At 39.0% G+C, this 26,302-nt stretch overlaps 1 protein-coding gene across 10 annotated transcripts in view, besides 1 other annotated feature; it reads right to left on the bottom strand.

The window, feature by feature from the left end:
• The window catches only part of LYPLAL1 (lysophospholipase like 1), a 271,619-nt gene that overhangs the window by 110,466 nt on the left and 134,851 nt on the right, over positions 1-26,302 (bottom strand). For 4 of the 10 annotated variants that reach the window (XR_001736964.3, XR_007078558.1, XR_007078563.1 and 1 more), the window contains one exon: positions 295-8,225. The exons of the other annotated variants lie outside the window; for them this stretch is intronic. The gene's annotated coding sequence lies outside the window, so the exon portion shown is untranslated. Of the gene's footprint in view, positions 1-294; positions 8,226-26,302 lie in introns of those variants that run through there. 10 annotated transcript variants of the gene reach the window in all.
• Positions 3,990-4,284: a silencer, noted in NCBI's record as "tiled region #2527; K562 Repressive non-DNase unmatched - State 24:Quies". NCBI's record gives its function as "represses a minimal TATA promoter and a strong SV40 promoter by Sharpr-MPRA in K562 cells {active_cell/tissue: K562}" and the evidence as "EXISTENCE:reporter gene assay evidence [ECO:0000049][PMID:27701403]".

The raw sequence follows: 26,302 nt of genomic DNA, 5'->3' as shown, positions 1-26,302 counted from the left end.
AAGAAGGTAGATGTGGTAGAGCAGAACCATGAGTGCAAGTATGGGAAAGAAGAAATTTGGGAGCACAAACAAGCATGGTAAAAATTTGGAAAACCATGCTATAAAATATACAAATTCTCCTTTTCATTTATTAGGTTTTCTGTGCCTTCCATGTTACCAAGAATGCTTTTGTGAGTGGAGTATTGGTAGGTTAATACAACAAGAGTTTAAAAGTCTAAGGTAAGGTATGCAGAGGAATAAAAAATAGTCTTCACACAGAAATGGCTAGCATAATAATAATAAGTACACAATACAAAACTTTAAGTTTTTGATTTATTCATTCTAAAAACAATTACTGGGAATCTATTTCATACTAAGGATTATATTAGATGCCGGATAAAATAGATACAAATTTTACAATTATTTCTTTATCAAAACTCAGCCATGGTGTAAAAAGTTGTTATACAAAATGCCATGCAAATGCAGATTAAACACACACACACACACACACACACACACACACACCCCTCTTCATTATGATTGGGTCAGAAAGCTGTCATTTATGCTGGAAAAGTAGGGATTTCACTGAAAGAAAAAAGGAAAATGTATTCTAGATATAGAAGAAAAAGTGGTCAATGGCCCAGGGTCATAAAAATTGGCAGAGTATTAGGGGAGGGCAAATAATCCTACAACATTAGAAGATTAAAGTATAAATGGGGAGCAGAATTGCAGTGGGAGATGAGACTGATGATCAAAGCAGTCCAACAAATTGATCAGATATTATTCTCAGTTATATCAGAAAAGAAACTCAGAGTTAAGAGGGTTGCTCAAAGTCACAAGGTTGATATAATTAAGAAATGTATTCTCTCTCCTTTTTCAAGGTTCTTTCTATTATAGTAATGTTTTCAAAACCATGATCAAAGAAGCCTTGGGATTCTATGATAGAGTTTCAGGAGCTACAAGGGAAGGTGAAGGGGAAACTGAATAAACAAGGAAGGCTTCATTTGAAGTCTTTAAATAATAGACATTTTACATTAGAAATGTTTGAAAAATGTTTTCCATCATAAAGTTGAGAGACATTGCCCTATGTCAATCTTTCTCAAGTCAATCTCATGGTTTCAAAATTAGATTGCAAAAGAATTAATAATATTACCATAAACAGAAAGAGGGCAAGTTGGCAGCTGTCTCCTGGACAAGGTGCTAGCTGGTGACATATGAGAAAGGCTGATTCAGCTGGACAGTGAGACATAGCTTAGTAAGTAGAGCTAGAATCCATTCAGGATACTATAAGAAGAAAAGCTAGACCTGAGAACGAGCTGAAGGATCAGTGATACCTAGGAGTTTTGCCTTGCTGAATAATCTGTCCTAAAACTTGTTCTTTCTGTAATTTTAAAAATTCTTATTTCTCTTATAAACATTTCTTTTAAGAACTTCAATTATCTCTTTATGTCTAAGAGAAAATCTTTCTCTTGGGTTAATAGAGAAAGGGGTTGGAAAAAGAAGGCCTACTCCAGAATGAGAGGAAGGTAGTGACCTTCCAGTTTGAGATCGGGAGCATTGGTGACACAGAAATGGAGCCCTAGACATGCAACCACCCTTACCTCTGTTCTAATATGCTTCTAAGTGCTGCCATGTATGACTGTACAAGCTGCCTACTGTGCAACTCCTGAGAGTACTATTTACATAGACTGTGATGTTAAAGGAGCTTCTTGGAATGGAGCAATGTGGGAATATTGCTATGGTAGCCAGAGTAATGGATCTTCCAAAGACATCAGTGTCCTAGTTCCTGGAATATGGGACTTTGTTGTGTTATATGGCAAAGTGAAATTAAAGTTTCAGATGGAATAAAGATTGCTAGTTAGTCATCCTTGAAATAGGGAGATTATTTTGGATTATACGAAGGGTCCCAGTCTAATCACACGTACCCTTGGCAGGGTGAGAAAATGAGACAGAAGTAGAGAAAGGATCAACTTGAAGTGTAAGAGGGACATGACCAGTCATTGCTAGCTTTGAAGATGAAAGAAGAGAGTCATAGCCAAGGAATTCAAATGGCCTTTAAAAGTGGGGAACAGCTCTTAGTTTACAGCCAGCTAGAAAACTGGGACCTAGTTTCTATACTCACAAGGTACTGAATTCTGCCAACAGCTTGAATAAACAAGAAATGGATTCTCCCCCAGAGCCTCTGATAGGTGGTAATCCTTCCATCTGGTTTAATTTGGGGGGGGGGGGCAGAAAATCAGCTAATACATTAATTTATTGAACCCCTTTCTTTAGATAATCTATCTATAGGTTTTATGCTTTAAAAAAAAACATTTAGTTGCAAAAGAATAAACTAACTCTTCTCCAAACTCATGCAGTAATAAGAAATAAGTCTTCTCTTCATCATTTTTACCAATATTCTGTGCAATAAAAGTACCATATTCCATAGAAACAATGACTCAAAATGGCAAAATGATAAAGGCCAAATAAGAATTCTTTTAGAGAAATTCCAATGAGAAGTTGTTTCAATGATCTATTGCTGCATATAAAACTACCCCAAAACTTAGTGGCTTAAAACAGTAACAATTTCATTATTTTTCAGAATTCTGTAGATCAGGAAGTCAGAAGCAACACAGCAGGGATTACTCATCTCTGCTTCATATGATATCTTCTGGGGCTGAAGAAGGCAAGATGGTCTCTTCACTCATATATCTGGCAACTCACCTGGGATGGTTTGAACAAACAGGGGTTGACTAAAACAACTCAACTAGTGTTACGTGTCTGGGGTCCAGGATCCTGCTGTTGGCTGGGCTCTTCAATTATCCTCCAGGTATCCTCTCCCTTATCCCACATCCCCAGCTCCACCTTGTCTTTTCATGTGGTGTCTCCAGCAGGGTAACCTGACTGCTTGAATGGTAGGTGGGTTTCAAGAAAGAGGGAGCAGAAGCTGCCAGTTTTCTTAAAGTCTAAGTGTGAAATGACACAACATCACTTCTGCTTCAGTCTTTTCCTTACACAAATTTACAAATCTCTGTAAAATTCTTCCTTTTCCATCTTAGTGAACCTCGGGCTAGTGTTACCACAAATAGTAACTATTAGCATTCTATGCAACCTAGCATTAATTAACAAAGATTCAGAATTCCACTGTGAAATCCCTTAGTAATGCCCCAGAAGCGGTGAGACTCTCACATGATAGCAAGGTGCAGGTAAAAGTCAAGGGAAAGATGTTGTGTGGCCTTCTTCATTACCCACAAAATTGTACCTCTCCAACGCACCACTAGCAGCTCCTTGAGTTACGGCTACAGACTGCTTTTCACCCTACTTGACATTTGACAGTGTGATAGATTGGATTGTTGGCTCCAATACCTAATCTCTCATTGTGTCCGGCCCTTGGCCTTAAGACTTTGTGGTTCTTCCCACTAGAAGTGGAGTGTACTTTATCTGTCCTTGACTTTAGACTCTTGCTTTGGCAACGGCATGTGTGCATAAATGACAGTTGCCAGTTTGGCAAATAGGCATTAGCATTGTTTGTTTTCATTTCCTCTCTTATGCTTCTGCTATTACCATGAGTTAAGTCCTGGCTGGTCCACCAGTCCAAAGAAGATGAGAAATATATAAAGTGGACCCAGTTTTAACACAAAAACGGAGCATTGCTTAGTGAAGACCAACCTGGATCAGCCAACCTCCACCTAATCTGCAGATGTGTGAATGAGAGTAATTGTTGTTTTAAGCTACTGAGTTTGGAATGGCTTATTATGCGACATTATTGTGGTAATAATTGTCTAATACACGTGGCAATACTAAATCACAACAGGAAAGTTTTTCTGTGACTTCAAGCAATGGTTGTCATGATGAAATCTGGGAGTCATAAAATCAAAGAGATCTAACCACCTAGCCAATGCCTGAGATATCTATATTACCAAGTGTTTTTCAAATCTGCCAGACTCAGTGAATTCCCAGCTTTACGGTATACTGGCAAGAGCACAAATGACAAGCCAGAAGGATGAGAAGAACATTTAATAGATGTGTTGAATCATACCTTTACATGATAGAAACTAGCTGAGAAGCCTTTACAACAGCAGGAATACTAGCCAGATTTCTGCCAGTTGCTAATATGTGACTTTGAGCAGATTTCAAAGCCAAGAGGTAGAAACAGAAACTGTGCATTATATAAACAAGGCTTGTTACCTCAGACCCAAAGAGAGCCTTGGTCAAACAACAGTCAATCAATAGTCTTCTCAGCAGGTGGATCACAGATTCATGGTGACAGATGCGAACGCAAAGAATGAGGACATACAGCTTTTATGAGACAAACATGCATATTGCTGGTCAAAGCCAATAATCTCCCTCTCTCTCAACTGTGGAGTAAGTGAAAACATTTTGATTTGGATAAAAGCAATTATTTTGTTGAATGTATTTAGAAGTACGTGTTTATAGGTGCCTTCTTTTTAGCTTAGCATACAATTGAATCAGACATTAGTTGATATTTTTAATATATCAATCATATAAAAGCATTGCTATCTACATGGAAGACAAAATAAGAATTAGTTTGAAATGTAACTTAGGTTCAACACAGAGGCCTTAAAAAGAGCTCACAATTTGATTTAAACTTTTGCTCTAGAAGCAATTAGCATCTAGACAATTAATGTGAAAATTACAGTTTCATTCATTGTCACACAGAAGATGATTATTTCATAAAGCTGAGTCTCTGTTTGGATTTAAAATATTTTTTGCTTGTAGAGCAGCATTAAATATATTGTCTGCAGTATCTCACCCTTATTCTATAGGTTATGTCAACATGAAATTCCTGAAAGTAATGTCAATGAAACATGAAATTAATTTTCTGTGGCTTACTAGCTTTTGCCAAAACAGCAGTCATTTCTTTAAAGTGGTTACTTAAAATGCAGCTATGCTCTGTCTATGGAAAGTTTAATTTTTTTTAGGACTTTGTCCTTTTATGATTACTCCTCACATGACTGAAGGATATCAAAACTCACATGCTTTTGTGACACTTGGTGCCTGAGAGATCTGTAAGCCCATTCCCCAGTGAGGATCTACAGTAAATTTTAACATTTATCTGCTGTCCTCTGCTATATAAATGGCAACTTAGTGCTTTTTATGAAGAAAGAAAGAAGGTCAAAAGATACAGTCATAAATCAGAGGGGGTGGGGGCGAGGAGGAGATTACCAAAATGCTTTGGAGGGAGACAGTTATCCTACTTGAACGCCACAGGTTCTAGAGTTTCCTGCAGCAGTCACAGCCTTTGAAACTCAAGTTCTTTCTATATGCTGTCATAGCTGACCGAGAGAAAGAAAATTGTTCATTGCATTTCCTCTTAAGACCAATCACTTCCTCTCACTCCCATTAAGCATTGTCAGAGTTGGTTGGAGAAAAATGGGTATCACCCCAATTTCAGCAATGAAGGCTCACCGGGCATTCCAGAGAAAACCCACTCATGCCTTCTTTGAAATGCATAATAAAAAGACAAAATAGACACGGCTATTTAGAATGCTTCATTTACTCAAGAAGGAAAGGATTTGTCCACATCTAAAATTTTTTGCATACCTATTTGATTAATGACTTCACAGTTGGGACCCTGGTGAAATGTTTAAGCCAGAAAGAAGGTTCCCAAGAATCTTACACTGTAAGGCATGATTGTCATTGCTAAACGTATGACAAATATTAGGTCAGGATGGAAAAAATCATATTTTATAATTCACGAATCAAAGAGCATTTATTAAGGATACAGTATGATTCAGGTATCATGTTAAGACTTTTCATATTTATGATTTTATTTATTTATCCCTTTGTCCTCATTATAAGGACAGTTCTCTTTTCATTAAGTAGAGTTAAGGAACATTCTGAGGTTACTGCTTCTAAGTGTCAAACCGAGACCAGTACTTAGACATTTTTATCCAATTACAGGTTATGGCAATGGTCAGATCAAATAATTAAGACTAATTTGAAAAGTGTTGAACTACAAAAATGGAGAAGGAACAGAAAAAAAAGAGAATAAAAGAATATTTACATTAATAAATTTACCAAATAACTTCTGCTTTGCTCCAAAAAGGATTGAAAGTTACTTATGAAAACCCCTGTGGTATAAGAAATAAAATAAATTCATTATTAGCAAGAAAAAAAGTTAATAAGGATAGAAAACAAGACACTTATTCATGAATAAAAACATTAAACATAGAACTAGTTTTGCAATTTTAGTCAATCCCAGGTATTCAAACTTAGAATGGTGGAAAGAAGAAAATAATTGCAACAAAAGTACTTTTTGTGTTGGCAAATGATGACATTAGCACTAGTAGTACAAGTGTAATTTTATAATTTTGGTTGAGGTTTCTGGCTTATTGATATAGATACTGTATATAATTTTGATTGAGGTTTATTAATGTGGCTTATTTATATAGATATTGTGCCCCAAGGTAAGGGTGGTTCCATTTGTGAGCGTGTGTATATGATAATTTATTTCTATATCAAGTATCAAAGAAAATGTGTGAGATATCAGTTATGATCTGAATGATGACTCTATCAGACAAAAGAAAAAATCCACAACTGGCCAGTATTAATGAAAAGAAATTGACAATTCTTCTGGTGTGTAGGATAATGGTGGGCACAAAGAGAAGGGAATTCTATTGAATCTTAGATCAGAATGTAGAACAACCAGGTCTAGACTGAAGGCTTACTATCATGTAGAAAGAAAATCATTCACGAAGGGTACATCACCTAGGAAGGCATGGTAACTGCAAGAACAGCTTAGGAAATTTTTCCTAGTCAGAAAGAAAAAGTGCCAAGAAAACTGGATCAGAGAGATGTGCATGAGTGAGAAACCGGAAGTATCGCCAACCCAGATGTCAGAAACTGGAGCTCAGTTTTCATGTAAGAAAGAAGCCAACAAGAGGTATGTTTCCTCAGTTGAACAAGGAAATATACAGAAAAAGTTCAAGTTGGTCTGGGTTAGAGAAGTAAGGACATTTGGGGCAAAACATGACATGTGTAAGCAAACCTTTAGATACAGACAGCAGGAAGTATAGGATAAATATTCTCGTCTTGAAAGAACAGTTTTTAGTTTAAAAATCAATTTTCCTATGTATTAGTCCATTTTCAATGTTGCTGATAAAGACATACCCAAGACTGGGTAATTTATAAAGGAAAGAGGTTTAATGGACTCAGTTTCACGTGGCTGGGGAGGTCTCAAAATCATGGTGGAAGATGAAAGGCACATCTTACATGGTGGCAGGCAAAGAGAGAATGAGAACCAAGTGAAAGGGGTTTCCCCTTATAAAACCATCAGATCTCAAGAGACGTATTTACTACTAAGAGAATAGTATGGGGAAAACTGACCCCATTATTCAATTACCTCCCATGTGGGAATTGTGGGAGCTACAGTTCAAGATGAGATTTCAGTGGGGACACAGCCAAACTATATCACACTATTCCTAGGGAATGATTATAGGGATCATCAACAACAGAATAGTTTCTTTGTTTGGTCCATTTGTCACACTAAGTCAAATAAAATTGCTGATCAGATGAAATCCACTGCCACTACCTCTCGTTCCCCTCCAAGCACCCAGTATCCCATTACTGCCTCCTGATGTTCTGAGCTGCTCCCCCATCTTCATGTGCTTCATTTCTTCAGGACCTCAATTGCCTCGCCATTTCAAATTCTTCTTGTCTTCATTTGCCTAGTCAGTGTTCTTCAACTCACTCTCAGCCTTGCAGACTGCTTGGGCCAGTAGAATACATGAGCAATTAAAGCGAGTTGTGCTGCACCCTCTAACAGCTGGGGGTGGCTAAAGCTTTTCTGCAGCTCTCCACCATAACCCCATTCCACCCAGCCCTGAGGAGGAGAAGCAGTGATGTTGGTGAAGTCAAGGCTGGCTAATGGAGAGCACATCAGTAGAAGGTGTACGATTATGGAAAACTCCTCTGCCTCCTGCTGTTTTTTTGTTTGTTTGTTTTTGTTTTTTGAGACGGGGTCTAGCTCTGTCATGAGGTGGTGTGCAGTGGTGCTATCTTGGCTCACTGCCATCTCCGCCTAATGGGTTCAAGCGATTCCCCCGCCTCAGCCTCCTGAGTAGTTGGGATTACAGGCGTGAGCCACTGCGCCCGGCCCCTGCTGTTGTTTACTGTGCTTTCTTTGCTGGCGACTTCTCAGCATTTTTCTCTTTGGGCTTTGGTTCTCCTTTTACATATTCTGTGCAGATTGTCTATTTTCTTCTTTTTCTTCCCCATAGGCTGATGCAATCCCATGCCGCAACCTGTTTGGTATCCAGAGGAAAACAGACATGGAATGAGAGGCTTAGGGGGAGCAAGAGACACTTTTTCCCCTTGACACTTTTTAAAAGGCTCCTCTTTCTTTAGCTTCTCACTGTCAAATTGATAAGACTTCAGGATTTAAGTTACTAGGGTCCACACTACAGGAAAGGCGCCAAGGAGGCTACTTAATCTAATTTGAATCAAATAGGTAGAAGGAATTTTCTTGTTGATACGGGGCCTTAGGCCACTACCCCGAGTCAAGAATCCCAGAAGGGAATTGGGGATCATGTCCTATATAGTAATAACCTCCACTGGAATTATAATAGACAACAGATACAGAATGAAGATTCAGGGTCCCAGCCATCTTTCCACCTCCTTCCTGGAGGCACAAACTAATATGACATTAAGCCCTGCCAGTATTGCAATTTTCATTCTAACCTTAAGAAAATTCTTGTGGCTGTTTAGAGACCTTTTCATTCAATGCCCCCCCACCCCCCAACCCCCCACCCACCAAAAACAAAAAACCCTCACGAACTAACAAAATGGAAATTTCAGGTTAGTAGGATCAAGATTTGGGAGTCAAAAAGCCTTTAAGGCTGGGCGTGGTGGCTCACCCCTGTAATCCCAATATTTTGAGAGGCCGAGGCAGGCGGGTCACCTGAGGTCAGGAGTTTGAGACCAGCCTGGCTAACATGGTGAAACCCCGCCTCTACTATAAATACAAAAATTAGCAGGGCATAGTGGTGGGTGCCTGTAATCCCAGCTACTCGGGAGGCTGAGGCAGGGAGAATCACTTGAACCCAGGAGGTGGAGGTTGTAGTAAGCTGAGATGAAAATCCTTTAAACCTCCCAAATTGCATCATTTAGGTGATTCCTACTTTACCTACAAATAACACCAATCCTGGATGGACATACCTTTAGGATTGTGTCATTTCTTATATTTCCCCCAAATTCTATAATCCCAAACTTCTTACAGGATTGGTCAGAAGATATGGAAACAATCACCAATGAGAGCCAACACCTCTGCTAAAACTGAGTGGATTAACAATATGTGCTAAGTGGGCTGAGGACATGACTGATTTAATTCACTCAATTAAATCAGAATTCATTCTGTTTCTCACAGGGGAAGGTGAGGTGAGAAGTGAAGTGATGAAGGAAAAAATATGTATGTGGGTGCTTAATTGACTTGTACTCATTTACAAGCTACAACCCATTGTCTTTATTCTTTTCATATGTTTTGAAACTCTTAGAAATTCTCAGAGGAACAAAGTCATATAAGTGTAAAACCATGATGATAGAGTATTGCTATTTCCCACTACTATTAAGTCTACTATAGTGGTCTTCATGAGTCAAGAAAGGGACGGTGCCATTTTTCTTTGCATGGAAATTTTCAAAACATCAGGGAAGGGGTGGTTTAGACAATGTCTCAAAATTTCTTTTTCAGGAGCTACGACTTAACAATGTTGTAGCGAAGGGGAAAGAAGAAGGGGTGGGTATAGGGAGTGAGTGAATCTATATGACAAATCTTGTAGTACAAGTGTTTGTGGTTAACTGAGAAACGCATTATGAGTCAAGCCTTTGGAAAGAGGTGAGTAATTAAAGACAAATGCTATGACATAATCATTTACACGCAGCAGAAAGATTTTAGATTAAATCTGGCCTGACCCACTGCTCGGCAAGTGTTATCATGGATTCTTGAGAGGTATTCATTTATTTACTTTCTAATTTGGCCCATATGTTTTTTTGAAAACAAAGAAGTTTATATTTCCCATAGGAACTAGCCTCAGTCTAGTGATGGTTAAGAAGGTTGGTGTATTTGGGAACACACAGATCTCCTGTGTGCACCATCAAACCCAATGAACAGCATGTCAGCTTGAAAACACCTTATTTGAAAAAAGCCAAGGAGCTTTGCTATAGCACTTTTACTGGAATACATTCTGTATTTAAGGCGGTTACTCTATGCACATTTAGATGACTCAGTGAAACATCAGTTAGAGCAATAACTTGCCACAATAACAAAAATCATATGTACTGACTTTTACTTTGCAACTCTTCAACCTGACCTCAACACACACTCACCAACACACACATACACACACACTATTTGGCTTCATCCTGTATTTCACTCACCATCCATGTCAATCTGATGTCAAGAAACCAGTTTTTGAAGCAAGAGGCAGATTTAGCCTTCTTCCTTCCTTAATCCTAACACTATAATACAAAACATGCTATGTAACTCCAGGAGATGGCTTCATGGTTATCCAATTCCTATTAAATTTTAGCTGCTGCCTTTATTAAATGCAGGAAACACGAGTGCAGAGGGGGAAGGGATAAGAGAGAGGGGCCGAGTCACTACCTTTTGTTCTTTATATTTGGATAGATGTGGAATTGTTAAGGTCAGGCTTTCTGCAGAGTGAAAGGATAGTAAGTACTGTTTGCAGAGCTGACCCAGTTCCTCCAGGCATTTCAGAACATTCTATGAAGGAGCTATACACTCGTCTTTGGAGAAAAGGAGAACTCGTGGTCACACTTATCCCTCCAAAAAGAATGAAGCTTAAAATTCAGGGCCTTTAACCCATAAGTTACAGAGTGAGAATTAAGAATCAGAAACTGGCATCTAGTTTCTTTTCAGGATAATTCTTTCCTAGTAACAACCATCTGGTCACATTCTGTTTTCTTGTAGGGTAAAGAATAAATGCACACTGCAGGAAAAAGGGGCCTTACAGTGGGTAAGAAAGAACCACCATTTGGGAACAGTACCAGAGAGAAACGCACATTTAGACTGGGTAGTGAAGAGAGCATCGGCTTACTAGTCAGTTACCATGTTCCTGGGAGCTTTGATGATCTGCCAAAACATGACAGATGTTCAGAAAGGTAAGGAGACTCAAGTCACTGCCTTTTAATTATTACTATATGGGTGGTTATGGGTGTGTGTTTTAGTATATATGCATGTGTGTGTATATTTCTTTCTCAGTGTTGATAGTATATTTCCATAAATATTGTTATACTGGGGAGATTAAAGCAACTGCAGGAATCCACTGTACTTTTTTCTAAGGTTTTTATTATTGTTTTTGCCTTTGCCCTCTTCCCTTCTAAACTGCCTCGGTTATTATTCAGGCTTATACTATACATTGTTGAACAAATGCCAGCTCTATGGAAACCACAGTTCTCCCTGTCCATGGGTCACTTTGGTACATGTTTCATTTGGAGCAGCCGTAACAGAGCCCAGCTTCAAAGGAGAGAGCTCACAACAGACGTGGGCAGGAATTTCATTATGCCACATGTGACAGGCAGGCTGCTCTGCCCATTTCAGCAATCAACAACCTTGTGGGGCACAGACAGATGAGAAGGGATACCCTACTGCTTCCCTATTTGGCTCAGCCCCTTCCTCCCTAACCTCTTTCAAACTCACCTAATGAAGGCCACATAATGAGACTTCCCTGAGAAACCAGGACTATTGACAGGAAGTCTTTACAAGGGTCTGAATCCACCCACCTCTCATTTTTCTTCCTCTTCATGAGGTCTTTTTTTCCTAGTTCATGTTAGTTTATATTTTCAGTATACTTTCAATTCCATAACTGACCTAACCTTTCCATGTGGTTGCACCTGCAGCTTTTGAAATGTGCATATGGTGACTTTTCCCCAAATGTCGCTGCATCTCAGGGAAGGGCAATTAGTTCCCATGGTTGTCCCGCTGTTTATACATTTAACAGTTCAGTTAGGTCTTGAATTGTTTAGCTAAATAGTTGTGCTTGCTTATAGAAATTAATGAACAAAACAAGGACTGGATTTCACAAGTATCTTTGAACTTCAAGTCTTGCATTTCACACCAGGAAGCCAATTTCCCACAGAACTTTCCTATTTCAACATGTAGAAACAAAGGGAAAAGCATCGCTTAAACAAACTGGCATTTAGAATCCAGCCTTAAAATCTAAAACTGAAACTAACTTAAGATTTTCTAATTTCCCTTTACTGCAGTATTTAAGCATTCAATTTTTACTTTGAACACACATTGATGCTCATGAAAGAACAGGAACAACAGAGGACTGAAAAACTGGGACAGAAAATGGGCTAAGTGAGGAAGTGAAAACACATAGGAATCTTAACCCTTCTGATTTCTTTGTTCTTAGCATCGCACAATTTAAGCTCAGAGATGACCTGTGTAAGTTATCACCTTCTTTACTTCTTAGAAGTTTCAAGTAAACAATTTCTCCTTTTTTGTTTGACTTCTGGAAGAATGCCTAAAAGCATTCAAGATATAACAATAGTTCCCAAGAAAGAAAAAATACATTTCATTATTTATATTCTATAAAATATAGAATATGTTTTATATGAGTTATCTGGTTCCAAAATCACTGTGCCTGAGTTTAATGCTTCACTAAATTGTTCGCCTCATTGTCTTCCAGAATGAATTTACTTTTGACTATTATAAACACCATGTTTATCTGTGCAAGCCAGTATATTAATCACACTGCTGCAGCTCCTACATCCCTTTTAATTAGTGTGGATACATTTATCAACTGAGCAAATGAGAGAGCTGAGAGGTTGCGTTTTAGAGTGAGCTTAAATGACAAGTATATTATAGGCAGGTTGTGTAAGCTCTGATTTTTGGGGTTTCCCAGGCAGTGATGATAAACCTGGCCATAATTGTACTGAGGGAAGTTATAAGACATTGAGGAGGTTCTAACAATGAAAACTGAAGTGAAGAATTTAGGGAAATGCCTTCTTCACAAATATTTCTAAGCCAGTTCTTGATATTCCATAAAATAAAACTAAATATAGGTGTGCTAAATATAGATGAAACTGTGCCTCCATTATGTTCCAGATTTTGTCTAGTTTTATCCAAAGCATTGGGACTCAAGTTCAGCAAGAAATTGTGCTTCCAGTTTCCAAAACTTCAAATATTTTCAGAACTGCTGCTTTGGTCTAGGGTATATTACCCAGTAAAAAAGGGTGTGCCGTTCTGTCACTCTTACTTCCCATTGTAGTTTTCTCTTTTCCTCCTCCTTATGTCTTGAAACAAATCTTAACTTTTATTCCTGGTAAATTCCAAGGAATAGCCCAAGAACCAATCTTGAGAACTTGTCAAACAAATCTGGTTTATGCTATCACTACCTCCTTATTTTGATGGTGCCACTGACCATTTTGGGGTCTTCATGCTACTAAAATGATCCCTTCCTTACACCTTTTACAAAAATTAATTCAAGATGGATTAAAGACTTAAATGTTAGACCTAAAACCATAAAAACTCTAAAAGAAAACCTAGGCAATACCATTCAGGACATAGACATGGGCAAGGACTTCATGTCTAAAACACCAAAAGCAATGGCAACAAAAGCCAAAACTGACAAATGAGATCTAATTAAACTAAAGAGCTTCTGCACAGCAGAAGAAACTACCATCAGAGTGAACAGGCAGCCTACAGAATGGGAGAAAATTTTTGCAATCTACCCATCTGACAAAGGGCTAATATCCAGAATCGACAAAGAATTTAAACAAATTTACAAGAAAAAATCAAACAACCCCATCAAAAAGTGGGTGAAGGATATGAACAGACACTTCTCAAAAGAAGACATTTATGCAGCCAACAGACACATGAAAAACTGCTCCTCATCACTGACCATCACAGAAATGCAAATCAAAACCACAATGAGATACCATCTCACACCAGTTAGAGTGGCAATCATTAAAAAATCAGGAAACAACAGGTGCTGGAGAGGATGTGGAGAAATAGGAACGCTTTTACACGGTTGGTGGGACTGTAAACTAGTTCAACCATTGTGGAAGACAGTGTGGTGATTCTTCATGGACCTAGAACTAGAAATACCATTTGACCCAGCCATCCCATTACTGGATATATACCCAAAGGATTGTAAATCATGCTGCTATAAAGACACATGCACACGTATGTTTATTGCGGCACTATTCACAATAGCAAAGACTTGGAACCAACCCAAGTGCCCATCAATGATAGACTGGATTAAGAAAATGTGGCACATATACACAATGGAATACTATGCAGCAATAAAAAAGGATGAGTTTGTTTCCTTTGTAGGGACATGGATGAAGCTGGAAACCATCATTCTCAGCAAACTATCGCAAGCACAGAAAACCAAACACCGCATGTTCTCACTCAGAGGTGGGAACTGAACAATGAGAACACTTGGACACAGGAAGGGGAACATCACACACCAGGACCTGTCGTGGGATGGGGGCAGGGGGGAGGGATAGCATTAGGAGATATACCTAATGTAAATAACGAGTTAATGGGTGCAGCACACCAACATGGCACATGTATACATAAGTAACAAACCTGCACGTTGTGCACATGTACCCTAGAACTTAAAGTATAATAATAAAATTAAATTAAATTTAAAAAAGGATCTTACTGTTTGCTTGGGTGATTAATCTTGACGATCAAGAAGAAGTTGGATTGCTGCTTCACAGTGGGGACAAGAATTATGGCTGGATTCTCGGGGATTCTGAGGGCGCCTTTTTGTGCTTCCATTCCCAGTAGCAAAAGTTAATGGAAAAATGATAGCAACCAAGAGAAGGCAGGACCAGTATAGATTGAAGGTCTGTGTCATCCCAGCAGGTAAAGAGCAAAATTAGCTGAGATGCTGAATGAAAAGAAAACATGGGACGGAGAATGGAGATAGAAATTATAAACGCTTACCTACTATGACATCCTGACCACTTACAGAAACAAGGACTGTAGCAGACATGCATATTTTCTGTCTTGCGTATTGTGTTGTGTGTTATCTGTGCTATTTTCTCCAGTTTCCTTTACCAATATTTTATGTAAGCGTTATTGTACAGTTGAATTATTTTAAAGATTAGTGTTTAGGTCACAGAATATTCAGGTGGGACTGTGACTGGATTATAAGACTAGTTAACCCCACACAGAGATGGATACTGTGCCTGTTGCTCAGGATGGATATGTTAACTATTGGGACTTGGTATCTTCCCTTTGTGAGAAGAGGATGACAGAGTTTTCATTTTATGAAGGATGGTTGTATCCTGATGTTATTGCTTTATAAAAGTTCAAACACATGTAGAAGGGGGTGAGTCAGTGTGAGTAAACAAAGAGTTGAACAGTCCTGCTTGTTACACTCTTGCCTCTTTCTCCAATTCACCATTCTGTGCTCTGCTCTGTGATGCTGGGTCTGGGACCCTGTGAAGCACATTTCTTTTTTGGCAGGTGGTTTCTGCCCATAAAGGGTACTAGAGATTGGGAAAGAGGAGTGCGGAGAAAAGGTTTGCTCCCTCCTATTTCTGCAGAATCCCCCAGAATTGGCCCTTCGCAGCATAGGTAGTTGGATTCTAGGGGATTTTGGGGGCATTATTTTGTGCTTCTTTTAGCATTTCCAGAATCAGCCTCATGGAATCCTCTCAGCAGTTCCAGTACAGCCAGGAAGCACTCCCCATTCACATCTCACAGATCTGGGTTCCAACTCGATGGGGAAGCTTCCCCAGGCACCACATTAATGGCACTCCTTCTCCACGGGTCAGAGGCTCAGCTATGGGAGGTCTTTCCTCTGAGTTTCTGAAGGGTCTACACAAGCTCTGTCCTCAGAAGTCTGAGTCCAGCTGCCCAGCAACATGCTCTGAGCTTAACTACCATCTCTTCCTTTCTCCTCCAGTCCTTACTTTCTGCAATTACTGTTTCTGTGTTACTGTTTGCTTTTTAGTTTACCAACACCTGTTTAGTTTATGCATTGCATCATATTATCTCTGTTGAAACATGGTTTCTGTTTTCTTGATTGGACCCTGCCTGAAAAAAAAGATAACTGCGATAAAGCCTTTCATTTGAAAAAGAGAAAGAATGGGAAGCAATCCCAAGGGGTCAGTGATCCAAAGCACACACCATCTTCTCCCGGAAAGAAAAACAGGGTTTCTTACCGGCAGTGGAGTAAGTTCCTTGGACAAGCCCCGTCAGCCTCCAACTCTGCACTCTGGAATATTTCCCTGCCCATTTTTCTAGGGACACATTAGGGGTCCTCTCCTTCCTCTTGGTGAGTGTTTGAGGACACGGTAATTTCATCAGGGAATGAGAGCTCCCAAGACTTCATCATTAGCCCTTATCTTTCTCTAAACACAAAATTCCCTAATGACCTTGGTCAAATTGTGATCTTTTACTTATTTAATTCCAAGGACTAGTAATCTAGTCATTATGGGTTGTGGTCTTTGAGCCTAAAATTTGGCATGGATATTTCTATTTTCTAATCAGAGAGCTTCATTCTCTTATTATTAGTATTTATTAAGTACATCCTAGGTAGTAGAAACACAACAGTAAATGACATGTAATCCTTGTTTTATACAATTCACAGTTTGGTGGAGATGAGAAAATCAGACATTTAAATTAGGCAATTCAAGTTGCAATGTGAAGAAGAGATCATGGTTTGGTGGGATGGGGGACTGTGGGGAGGGGTGGGGGTAACACAGGTGTTTGCTTAGGGTGCTAAGGGGATATTTCAGTCTTGATGAGGCAGGGAAGACTTCCTGGGAGAGTGACACTTGAGTTATTTGTAAGAAAAGGAGAAAGAGGAACACTCAAGGTGATGGAAAATTAGAGAAGCATGATAGATATTGATAATAATTGATCCACACAATTGGCCCAAGGGGAGAATCTACTTCCTTTTTTTAATCCCAGAGAAAACGAGCTCAAGCCCATACACATTAGATTAGCCCAACATTCAGTTATCTCCCACTTGCAGTTTTTCATGTTTCTGAGTTTTCTCAAACTCCAAAGGCTTGCACAATCCAACAGAAGGTCAACACTCTGACTTGAACACCCAAGAGTGAAGAGCCTGGGGTCTGATCAGTCTGCTATTGCTTTTGCTTCTTGCTGCCGCTTGGTGACACTGTTGACAACTGGACCTACAGAGTCCACAAAAGATGCTGATAGACCACAGACCTGTTGCTATGGATCTTAAAGGCTGCAAGGTCCATATCCTCAGCACAAGTCCAGTGGAGTGAAGGATGCCTAGGCTAAAAGCATGGGTCTTTTGATCTCATATAAAGTCATTCTCTGAGACGACAACTGCTGCAGGAGTATACTATCAGGATTAAACCAAGCATTTATGCCCTGCAGACCTGAAATTCCTCATCTGTTTTTTCCTTTCTAAGAATTCATACCACTAAAAGTCAAGTAGCTTATTTATTTATTTTTGATCCTGAAAATAGGTTCTTTCTACCCCCTTATTCCTGGGACAATTAGGATAACTGCATACTTTCTCATCATCACCTCATTTTCTTCAGGGTTCATATATATAACTACAAATATATATAGCCCTTTTTTGTTTGGGAACACTGTGTTCAGGGCCTAAAGATTATTTGCTTTTCTAAAGATGGTTGAAGTGACTTCCCTGTACCTCTCTCAGAAGAGAAAGAGAAAAAAAATCCAAGTTAAATATTCAACAGGACATTTACTATAGAAACACTGGAGGGGCTGAAAATAGTTCCTGTGAATGGAATATAGCTATTTAGGTGTTGAAACACGAAATAGTGAAAGATGAGACACCAGAGATACACAGGAAAGTCCTTGCTGACATGCTAAGGAGTTTGGATTTACTTCGGAAGCAATGGAGAATGCATGAAGGATTTAAGAAAATTGACATGAAGTATTTGGATTTTAGAACAGCCACTCTAGTGAGAAAAACTGATTGAAAAGGGCAAGTTTATAAAAATTGAACAACAAATTGAACCATGACCTTAAAAATTTTCCAATTTTTTAAATTATGGTAAAATACCTATAACATAAAATTGACCATCTTGGCCATTTAAAATGTACAGTTTGGTTGTATTCAATACATTAGTAATGTTGTGCATCCATCACTACCATTTCCGTAATACTTTTCACCTTTTAAAACTGAAACTTGATAGCTATTAAACTGTAACTCCCCATTTCCTCCTCCCCCCAGCCCCTAATGATCACCATTTACTTCCTGTCTCCAACATTTTGAAAACACTGAGTACCTCATATAAGTGGAATGATAAAGTATTTGCCTTTTTGCGACTGGCTTATTTCATTTAATGTAGTGTCTGCAAGATTAATCCACATTGCAGCCTATATCAGAATTTTGTTTCTTTTTAAGGCTGGATAATATTCCACTATATGTACATACCACATTTTTGCATATACATTTGACCATCAATGGACACATGGGTTGCTCTCACATTTTAGTTATTGTAAATACTGCTGCTATGGACAAACATCTCGTAACAAAGAAAATTCCTTGACCTGGAGGCCTTGCTAGTGAATTCTATCAGTCACTCAAAGAAGAATCAATATAAATCCTTCTCAAACTTTTTCAAAAAATTTAAAAGGAAAGAACACTTTCCACTCATCCTATGAAGACAGCATTGCCCTGATACTAAATCCAGACAAGACACTACAAGAAAACTACAAATCAATAATCCTTTTGAACATTGATATGAAAATCTTTAACAAAATATTAGCAAACCAAATTCAACAGCATATTAAAAGTATTATACACTATGACAAAATGAGACTTATTCCTAGAATGCAAGGATGGTTCAACTTAAAAAAGTCAATCAATGTAATATACCACATTAACAGAATGAAGAGGATGTAGAAATGGTAATTTTAATTGATGCAGAAAAAACATTTAACAAAATTCAATAATCTTTGATGATAAACACCATGATCTTAATTTTGCTAATACCAGCCTTCATCAACTGAGCTAAATAGTCATGATCAAAACCTGTAAGCGTATCTGCTTCTATAAAATAATATTAATATTATTGGATCTTTGAGATAGGTTTGTCCTTATACGTACATGTAGCTTTTCACCAAATTTTTTCTTGCCATGGGGCATTTTTTTTCCATTTAATTATAATGAGAAGTTTTCTTGAAATATTTAGCTATCCACATTGTCTTCTGAAATACAATAAAGAATTTAAATTATTCCATTAGCTTTTAGGGGATGGACTGCCCATCCCTAAGTTTTTGAAGAAAAACACCCTAACTTTTAAATGTACTTATTTCTAAAGTTTTGCTGTTTCCTTATTTGTCTCTGAAATTTTGCCAGTATCTGCTGATATTTTTGTAGTATTTATAATCACCAGAACTCCCAACAGTTCATATCCTGGAACTAAAGATGGGTGAAACCAGTTGTATTGGAGGTGGGTTGGTGAACATCTTGAACTATTTTTCAAATTGTGTTTGGGGTTCAAGGAAAACCAAAACACATTTTCATATTTTACCAAGAACTTTTTTTCCTCCTAATTTTAAAATGATGTCTATTTTAAGGGAAATTTAATCCATATGTTACTAAATTCCTTACACTTACCTCATCAAAATTTGTTTCTGTAAGAGCTATTTGATGTGCAAGAAGCCTTGGGAGTTGTTTTATGAGAGCTTTTTATGAGGAGTTTTTTTTTCTTAGAAACAGGAAGTCAAATTTTCTAGGCGAAGATTGACTCAAGTACAGCTTTTGCCAACTGTAAATTGCCTAATCAGTCAAAAGTCCTAAATTTCATAAAAATTTTTGACTTATCAAAATTTATATGAATCCTGATGATGTTACATTAATTTCTTGTATTTGCTTTTGCACATCGTCTTAACGATTCTTACAAGGTACTATTTCTATAATAACATATCACGCTTTTTAAAGGCAAAGATTTCAGTTTTAATCTAAATTTGAGATTCCCAATAATACTTAAAATATCTATTATATTTCTCATTTATGCTAAGATCTGGTTATGTTACCAACAGTAAAGCTTACAGAATCAACCCCTCCTCAAAACATACACACCCATACTCACACACACACACACAAACATCCATCCCAACATGTACACACACAAATATCAAACATATAGTTATTATTCTATTATTCAGATGCTTCTTTTAAGACACTGTTTTCCAAAGAATTTTCATTGAGTCACTTGCATCAGAATCACCTGTGGTATTTGTTAAAACGAAGATTCTAAGACCTCATCTCAGGCCTACTGAGTCAAAATCTTTGCGTTAATGGATCAATAAAGACATGCTAGCTCAAGATTCACAATATATTATCAAATGAAACAGTGTATTTAAAAACTCTCTGTCAGCCAGGCGCAGTGGCTCATGCCTGTAATCCCTGCACTTTGGGAGGCCGAGGTGGGTGGATCACGAAGTCAGGAGATCGAGACCACGGTGAAACCCCGTCTCTACTAAAAATACGAAAAATTAGCTGGGCGCGGTGGTGGTCGCCTGTAGGCCCAGCTATTAGGGAGGCTGAGGCAGGAGAACAGCCTGAACCCGGGAGGCGGAGCTTGCAGCTAGCCGAGATTGCGCCACTGCACTCCAGCCTGGGCGACAGAGCGAAACTCCATCTCAAAAAAGAAAAAAAGAAAAAGAAAAAAAATAAAAACTCTCTGTCAACCATTGCGGAAAGCAGTTTGGTGATTTCTCAAAGAGGTTAAAACAGAATTACCATTTGATACAGCAATCCCATTATTGGGTATATGCCCAAAGGAATATAAATTGTTCTACAATAAAGACATGCACATGTATATTCATCACAGCATTATTCACAATAGTAAAGACATGGAATCAGCCTAAATGCCCAATGATGGTAGATTTGATTTAAAAATGTGGTACATATGCACAATGGAATATTATGCAGTCATAAAAATAATGACGTCATGCCCTTTGAAGCAACATGGTTGGAGCTGGAGGCTGTTATCCTAAGAAAACTGACACCAGAACAGAAAACAAAATACTGCATGTTCTCACTTATAAGTGGGAGCTAAACACGGAGTGCATATGGACACAAAGAAGGGAACAACAGACACTGGGGCCCACTTGAGGGTGGAGGGTGAAAAGAGTGTGAAGATAAAAAGAACTATCTATCAGGTACTATGCTTATTATTTGGGTAACAAAATAATCTGTACATCAAACCCCTGTGACACTCAATTTACCTATGTAACAGACTTGCACATGAACCTAAAATAAAAGTTTAAAGGCCGGGTGGGTGGCTCATGCCTGTAATCCCAGCACTTTGGGAGGCCGAGGTGGGTGGATCCCTTGAGGTCAGGAGTTGGAGACCAGCCTGGCCAACATGGTGAAACCCTGTCTCTACTAAAAGTACAAAAATTAACTGAGTGTGGTGGTGGGCATCTGTAATCCCAGCTATCTGGGAGGCTGAGGCAGGAGAATCACATGAACCCGGAAGTATGTGGAGGTTGCAGTGAGCCAAGATCATGCCTCTCATCACTGTACTCCAGCCTGGGTGACAGAGTGAAACTCTATCTCAAAAAAAAAAAAAGTTTTTTTAAAAAGAAAACTCTCTGAAAACGTAAGATGCTATAAAAATTTATTTTTGAATAAATTTTCACACAGCCTTTCCCCTTCTTGCTGGAATTTGGGTATGCTGCTGAAAGAGGAGCAGCTGTCTTGTGAGTGCAAAGTCACCAACATGAGGATAAAAGCTATAACCTTAAAGGTGGCTTTTGTCACATGAGAAAAATAAAACTATTTGTTTAAGACAAACCCAATATAATCCTAAATGGTACACTGACGTTAAGTAGTTTGTTGTTGGTGACTCACAACTCAGTAGTGGCGGTAGACAGTGAACTCCTTTCCACTTGTCCAGAGCCCACATTCTTTCACTTATGACTTGTTCTATGTTATCATTTCCCAAGGGTCACAGCACATGGCTCTACACTGGATGATATAAAGGATTATAAACATGAAGAGACAGAACAACGAGATCTGCCTTCCAAAAACTTACAGATAGGCAGGCAAGATAAGGCATAGTCACAATAACCTACAATACTATAACCTATAATACTAAACAGAAAAAGAGATGTTAGAAGACAGGAATCATTGAAGTGTGACTGTATTATTAGTATCATCATTCATAATCATTGTAAGGACTATTATCGGTAGTTGTAGTCACAGTGATAAGACTTCTGGTTAGTAAGCTGTCACTTCAGTGCTTCCTCTCTACATCTCTGGAGGGCCCACCAATAGACCAGGAGAAGAGGAACTGCTACCTTCTCTAACGCAGCCTATCGCCTTCAGGTACAAATTCAGCCCAATACCACCTGAAGTCATATGCTTTGACTGTTGTTAGATTTGGGACAAAAATCCCGAGGAGCACTGAAAAAACAGACAAGGTGCCCACAAAAATGCTTTAGAAGAAAGAGGTAGAGAGCCCCTAGTTGCCTTCTCTTTCATGATAGTACTCTTGAAGCTGTGCCGATGAACTGTGCCCCAAGAAAATCTTTCTCCCATACTCAGGTTCTACTGGGCACTCCCAGCCCCAAGGGCTCCCTGGCGTGGTTTCCCCAGGGGTCTGCCTGTATCCTCATGCAGCTGCTCATTGGACACAGCCTTCACTGAGACCTCCTCAACTCCAAAAATGATGTGATATGTGTGTTTTGGTTTTGTTTTGAGGGAGAGGAGGAAAGGAGGCACAAAGAGCCTAGGACAAAGGGTGTGCTTGATCTAAAGAAACAGGGAAAGGAATACTTGAGGTCCCTGGCAAAATTTCAAAGTGAAGTTTATCCAAGCTGTCCTCTCACTCATTCCTCTACAGCCCCTGACCCTCTCCCACCTCTCTGCAGCCCTCACTTGCCCAGCTCTCCTCAGAAGTCCAGTGCCCTCCTTCCTCCTGCAATATGTCCTTCTCCTCAACTTCCCAAGGCACCAAACTTGGGAAAGCACCTTTCCCAAACTGTCCAATGCACCAGCATTCATTCTTCCTCTTTCCTTTCACATCACAAGCTTCTTCCTTTTACAGCAGCTTGGCAAGTGCTCAGAAAGCAGAATGATTAGAGTAATTCAAACAAAAATAAGAAGATTCCACTGTAACCTTCCAACGGGTTTCCTGGATCACACAATATATATTTTTAATGTATAGAATTCAAAATATTATTGGTGAAAAATTTTTATTGGTTAGCAGCAGGAAACCTGTTATTAAAAGCATTCTATGTATTTAGCCAACACTATTTTAATAGAAAGTTACATGAAATATAGAAAAGAAAAAATGCACAGCACCAGGTACAAAATCAGTGCTTAAGAAATGTTTGTTGGATTATGCGTATATTCAAATTCTCACCATTAATATCTGATGTCCTGGTGGTATAATCATGATGCATTTCTTTAACTATGAGAAAGATTAAATGTATTTAAGCCTTTTATCTTGTTTAAAATCTGTATTAGGGAACTACTATATCCAAAACACCATGCTAGGTTGTGAAAAGAGAATGATAGAAAGATGAAAAAGACATGGTGTCCACCTTAAAAAAAAAAAAAACACCTACAACATAGAAGGGAAGGCAAGCCAACGTGTAAATGACATCAAAGATTGGGATTGGTGTTGGTATGGGGGGAATAATGCTGATATTGTTCCTACCAAGAATATTTGTTCCATAGTTCCAAGCAAATATGTTCATACTGCTGACAAATGTCATTCCAGAAAAGTAGATTGATTGCTAATCAGGAATCTGTAGATTACAGCATCCAACACAGTCCATGCATGTTCACACTTCACCATTTTTCAGGTGATATTGCTGCATCTCACAATTTTTAAACTTCAAGAACATATATTGCATTTCTCACTTCCTATTTTCCATTCCATGACTGAAAGATAAAGGTTGTGGTTAAGCACAAACTCCATGTCCAGACTCAGGGAGAAAGAAAAAAAAAAAAAACTCTTAGACTAGATAACTAAGGAAAAAACATTTTCTGCAATAATTTTATATGATGAATAAGACTACAGGGTGGGTAATGTAGAATGGATAAACCAAAATGATAGAATGGATAAGCCAAAGACAATGAAAGTGAATATTTAATCTCTCTCCCTATGAGCCAGGAACTGTGCTAAATGCTTCACCTTCATCAACACTTTTCTTACTTCTCAGCAATCCTTAGACAGTGGAACTATTTTCACTTTACCAAGGAATTGGAGGCTACTAAGAGTTAAATTTTCCAAGAGAAGATAGAGAACATGTAGTTGAACTGAGATGCTAATTCAGGATTTTCTGGCAGCAAAATCCATTTTCTTAACCAGTTTCCTACATGTATTGTTCGTTTTTCCCATAGGGGTAAGGGATATACACTCATGAAAAAATGAAAATCATGAAGACAAATTTTATTTCACTTCACTTTTTTCTCAAGACTGCCATTATTTCATTTCCCCCCTACTCTATAATTCATAGCATGGCCTTTGCTTTTAGTTGATCTGAGTCACAAAATGTGCTTTGAAGTCCAAGCTTAGACAAAGTGAGATAAGGGCAGGCTCCAACCATCCTCAAAGCGTTCCCATTTTGTTTATTTTACTCACAGGCCTTGATCTTTTGATCTGTTTGTTCCTGCTTTCAGGACACTTGAGTGCTTGCTTATGGCATGTCTTCCAACTCAAATCAGCTATTCAAACCCACAAATTCCAATCTGGGCTCTTGTGAGTTAAGGTTCCCAGGTTCTTGGAAAGCCATGGGGACCTCAGATAGGGAGCAGGCAGGGCTGACTGCATGTGAGAAAATGAGGGAGTAAAAACTATTGGATTTATTATTCATCACCCCCATAAATAGGTACAATGTTTTTGTACCTTGAAAACAGTCAAAAACATTCCCTCCCTTTCAGTGTGTGTCACTTTGATCTTCTCAACAACACAGGGAGGAGTGTTATAATCTCACTTTGGTTTATAGATGAGGTAACAGACTTGGAGTGTTCACTCCATCAGTAAATAGCAAAGCTGAGGCTCAGTCTCAGATCTTCCAACCCCTAATAATATTATTTCCCAGAGAGCACACTATCACTACCTTTTAAATGCTAAATTTTATCTTCATTAAATAAGAAATGTAACCAGTTCAGTGTCAATGAGGGCAACTTAAGTAGATCAAAACTAAGACTGGGATTCCAACTCACTTACCATTTTGGTTTCTGTGACTTCTAGTCACTGACATGACAACACATGGTAGTAACTGGGTTCTAACAAGCTAAGATATAAGTCCTGTGTCTTGAGATGAATATTGTATTAGTCCATTTTCATGCTGCTGATAAAGACATACCTGAGACTGGGAAGAAAAAGAGGTTTAATTGAACTTACAGTTCCACATGGCTGGGGAGGCCTCAGAATCATGGCAGAAGGCAAAAGGCATTTCTTACATGGTGAAGGCGACAGAAAATGAGGAAGATGCAAAAGCAGAAACCCCTGATGAAATCATCAGATCTCATGAGATTTATTCACAACCACGAGAAGAGTATGGGGGACACCTCCTCCATGATTCAAATTTTCTCCCCCGGGTTCCTCCCACAACACATGGGAATTATGGGAGTACAGTTCAAGATGAGATATGGGTGGGGACACAGAGACAAAGCATATCATTCAGCCCCAGCCCCACCAAATCTCATGTCCTCACATTTCAAAACCAATTATGCCTTCCCAACAGTCCCCCAAAGTCTTAACTCATTTCAGCATTGACCCAAAAGTCCACAGTCCAAAGTCTCATCAGAGACAAGGCAAATCCCTTCTGCCTACTAGCCTGTAAAATGGAAAGCAAGCTAGTTACTTCCTAGATACAATGGGGGTACACAGGTATTGGGTAAATACAGCCATTCCAGATGGGAGAAACTGGCCATAACAAAGGGGTTTTGCAAAACAAAGGGCTCATGAAAGTCTCATGCAAGGCTCATGCAAGTCTCAAATCCAGTGGGGCAGTCAAATTTGAAAGCTCCAAAATGATCGCCCTTGACTCCAGGTCTCACATCCAGGTCAGCTGATGCAAGAGGTGGGTTCCCATGGTCTTGGGCAATTCCGCCCCTGTGGCTTTGCAGCGTGTAGCCTCCCTCCTGGCTGGTTTCACAGGCTGATGTTGAGTATCTGCAGCTTTCCCAGGTGTGCAGTGCAAGCTGCAGGTAGACCAACCATTCTGGGGTCTGGAGAACGCTGGCTCTCTTCTCACAGCTCTACTAGGCAGTGCCCCAGCAGGGACTCTGTGTGGGGGCTCCAACCCCTCATTTCCCTTCTGTACTGCTCTAGCAGAGGTTCTCTGTGAGAGCCCTACTCCTGCAGCAAACTTCTGCCTGGGCATCCAGGTGTTTCCATACATCTTCTGAAA

The sequence above is a fragment of the Homo sapiens genome, chromosome 1, assembly GCF_000001405.40.
Source record: "Homo sapiens chromosome 1, GRCh38.p14 Primary Assembly".
Lineage (NCBI taxonomy): Eukaryota > Metazoa > Chordata > Mammalia > Primates > Hominidae > Homo > Homo sapiens.
This window is presented reverse-complemented; position numbering and strand designations above follow the sequence as displayed.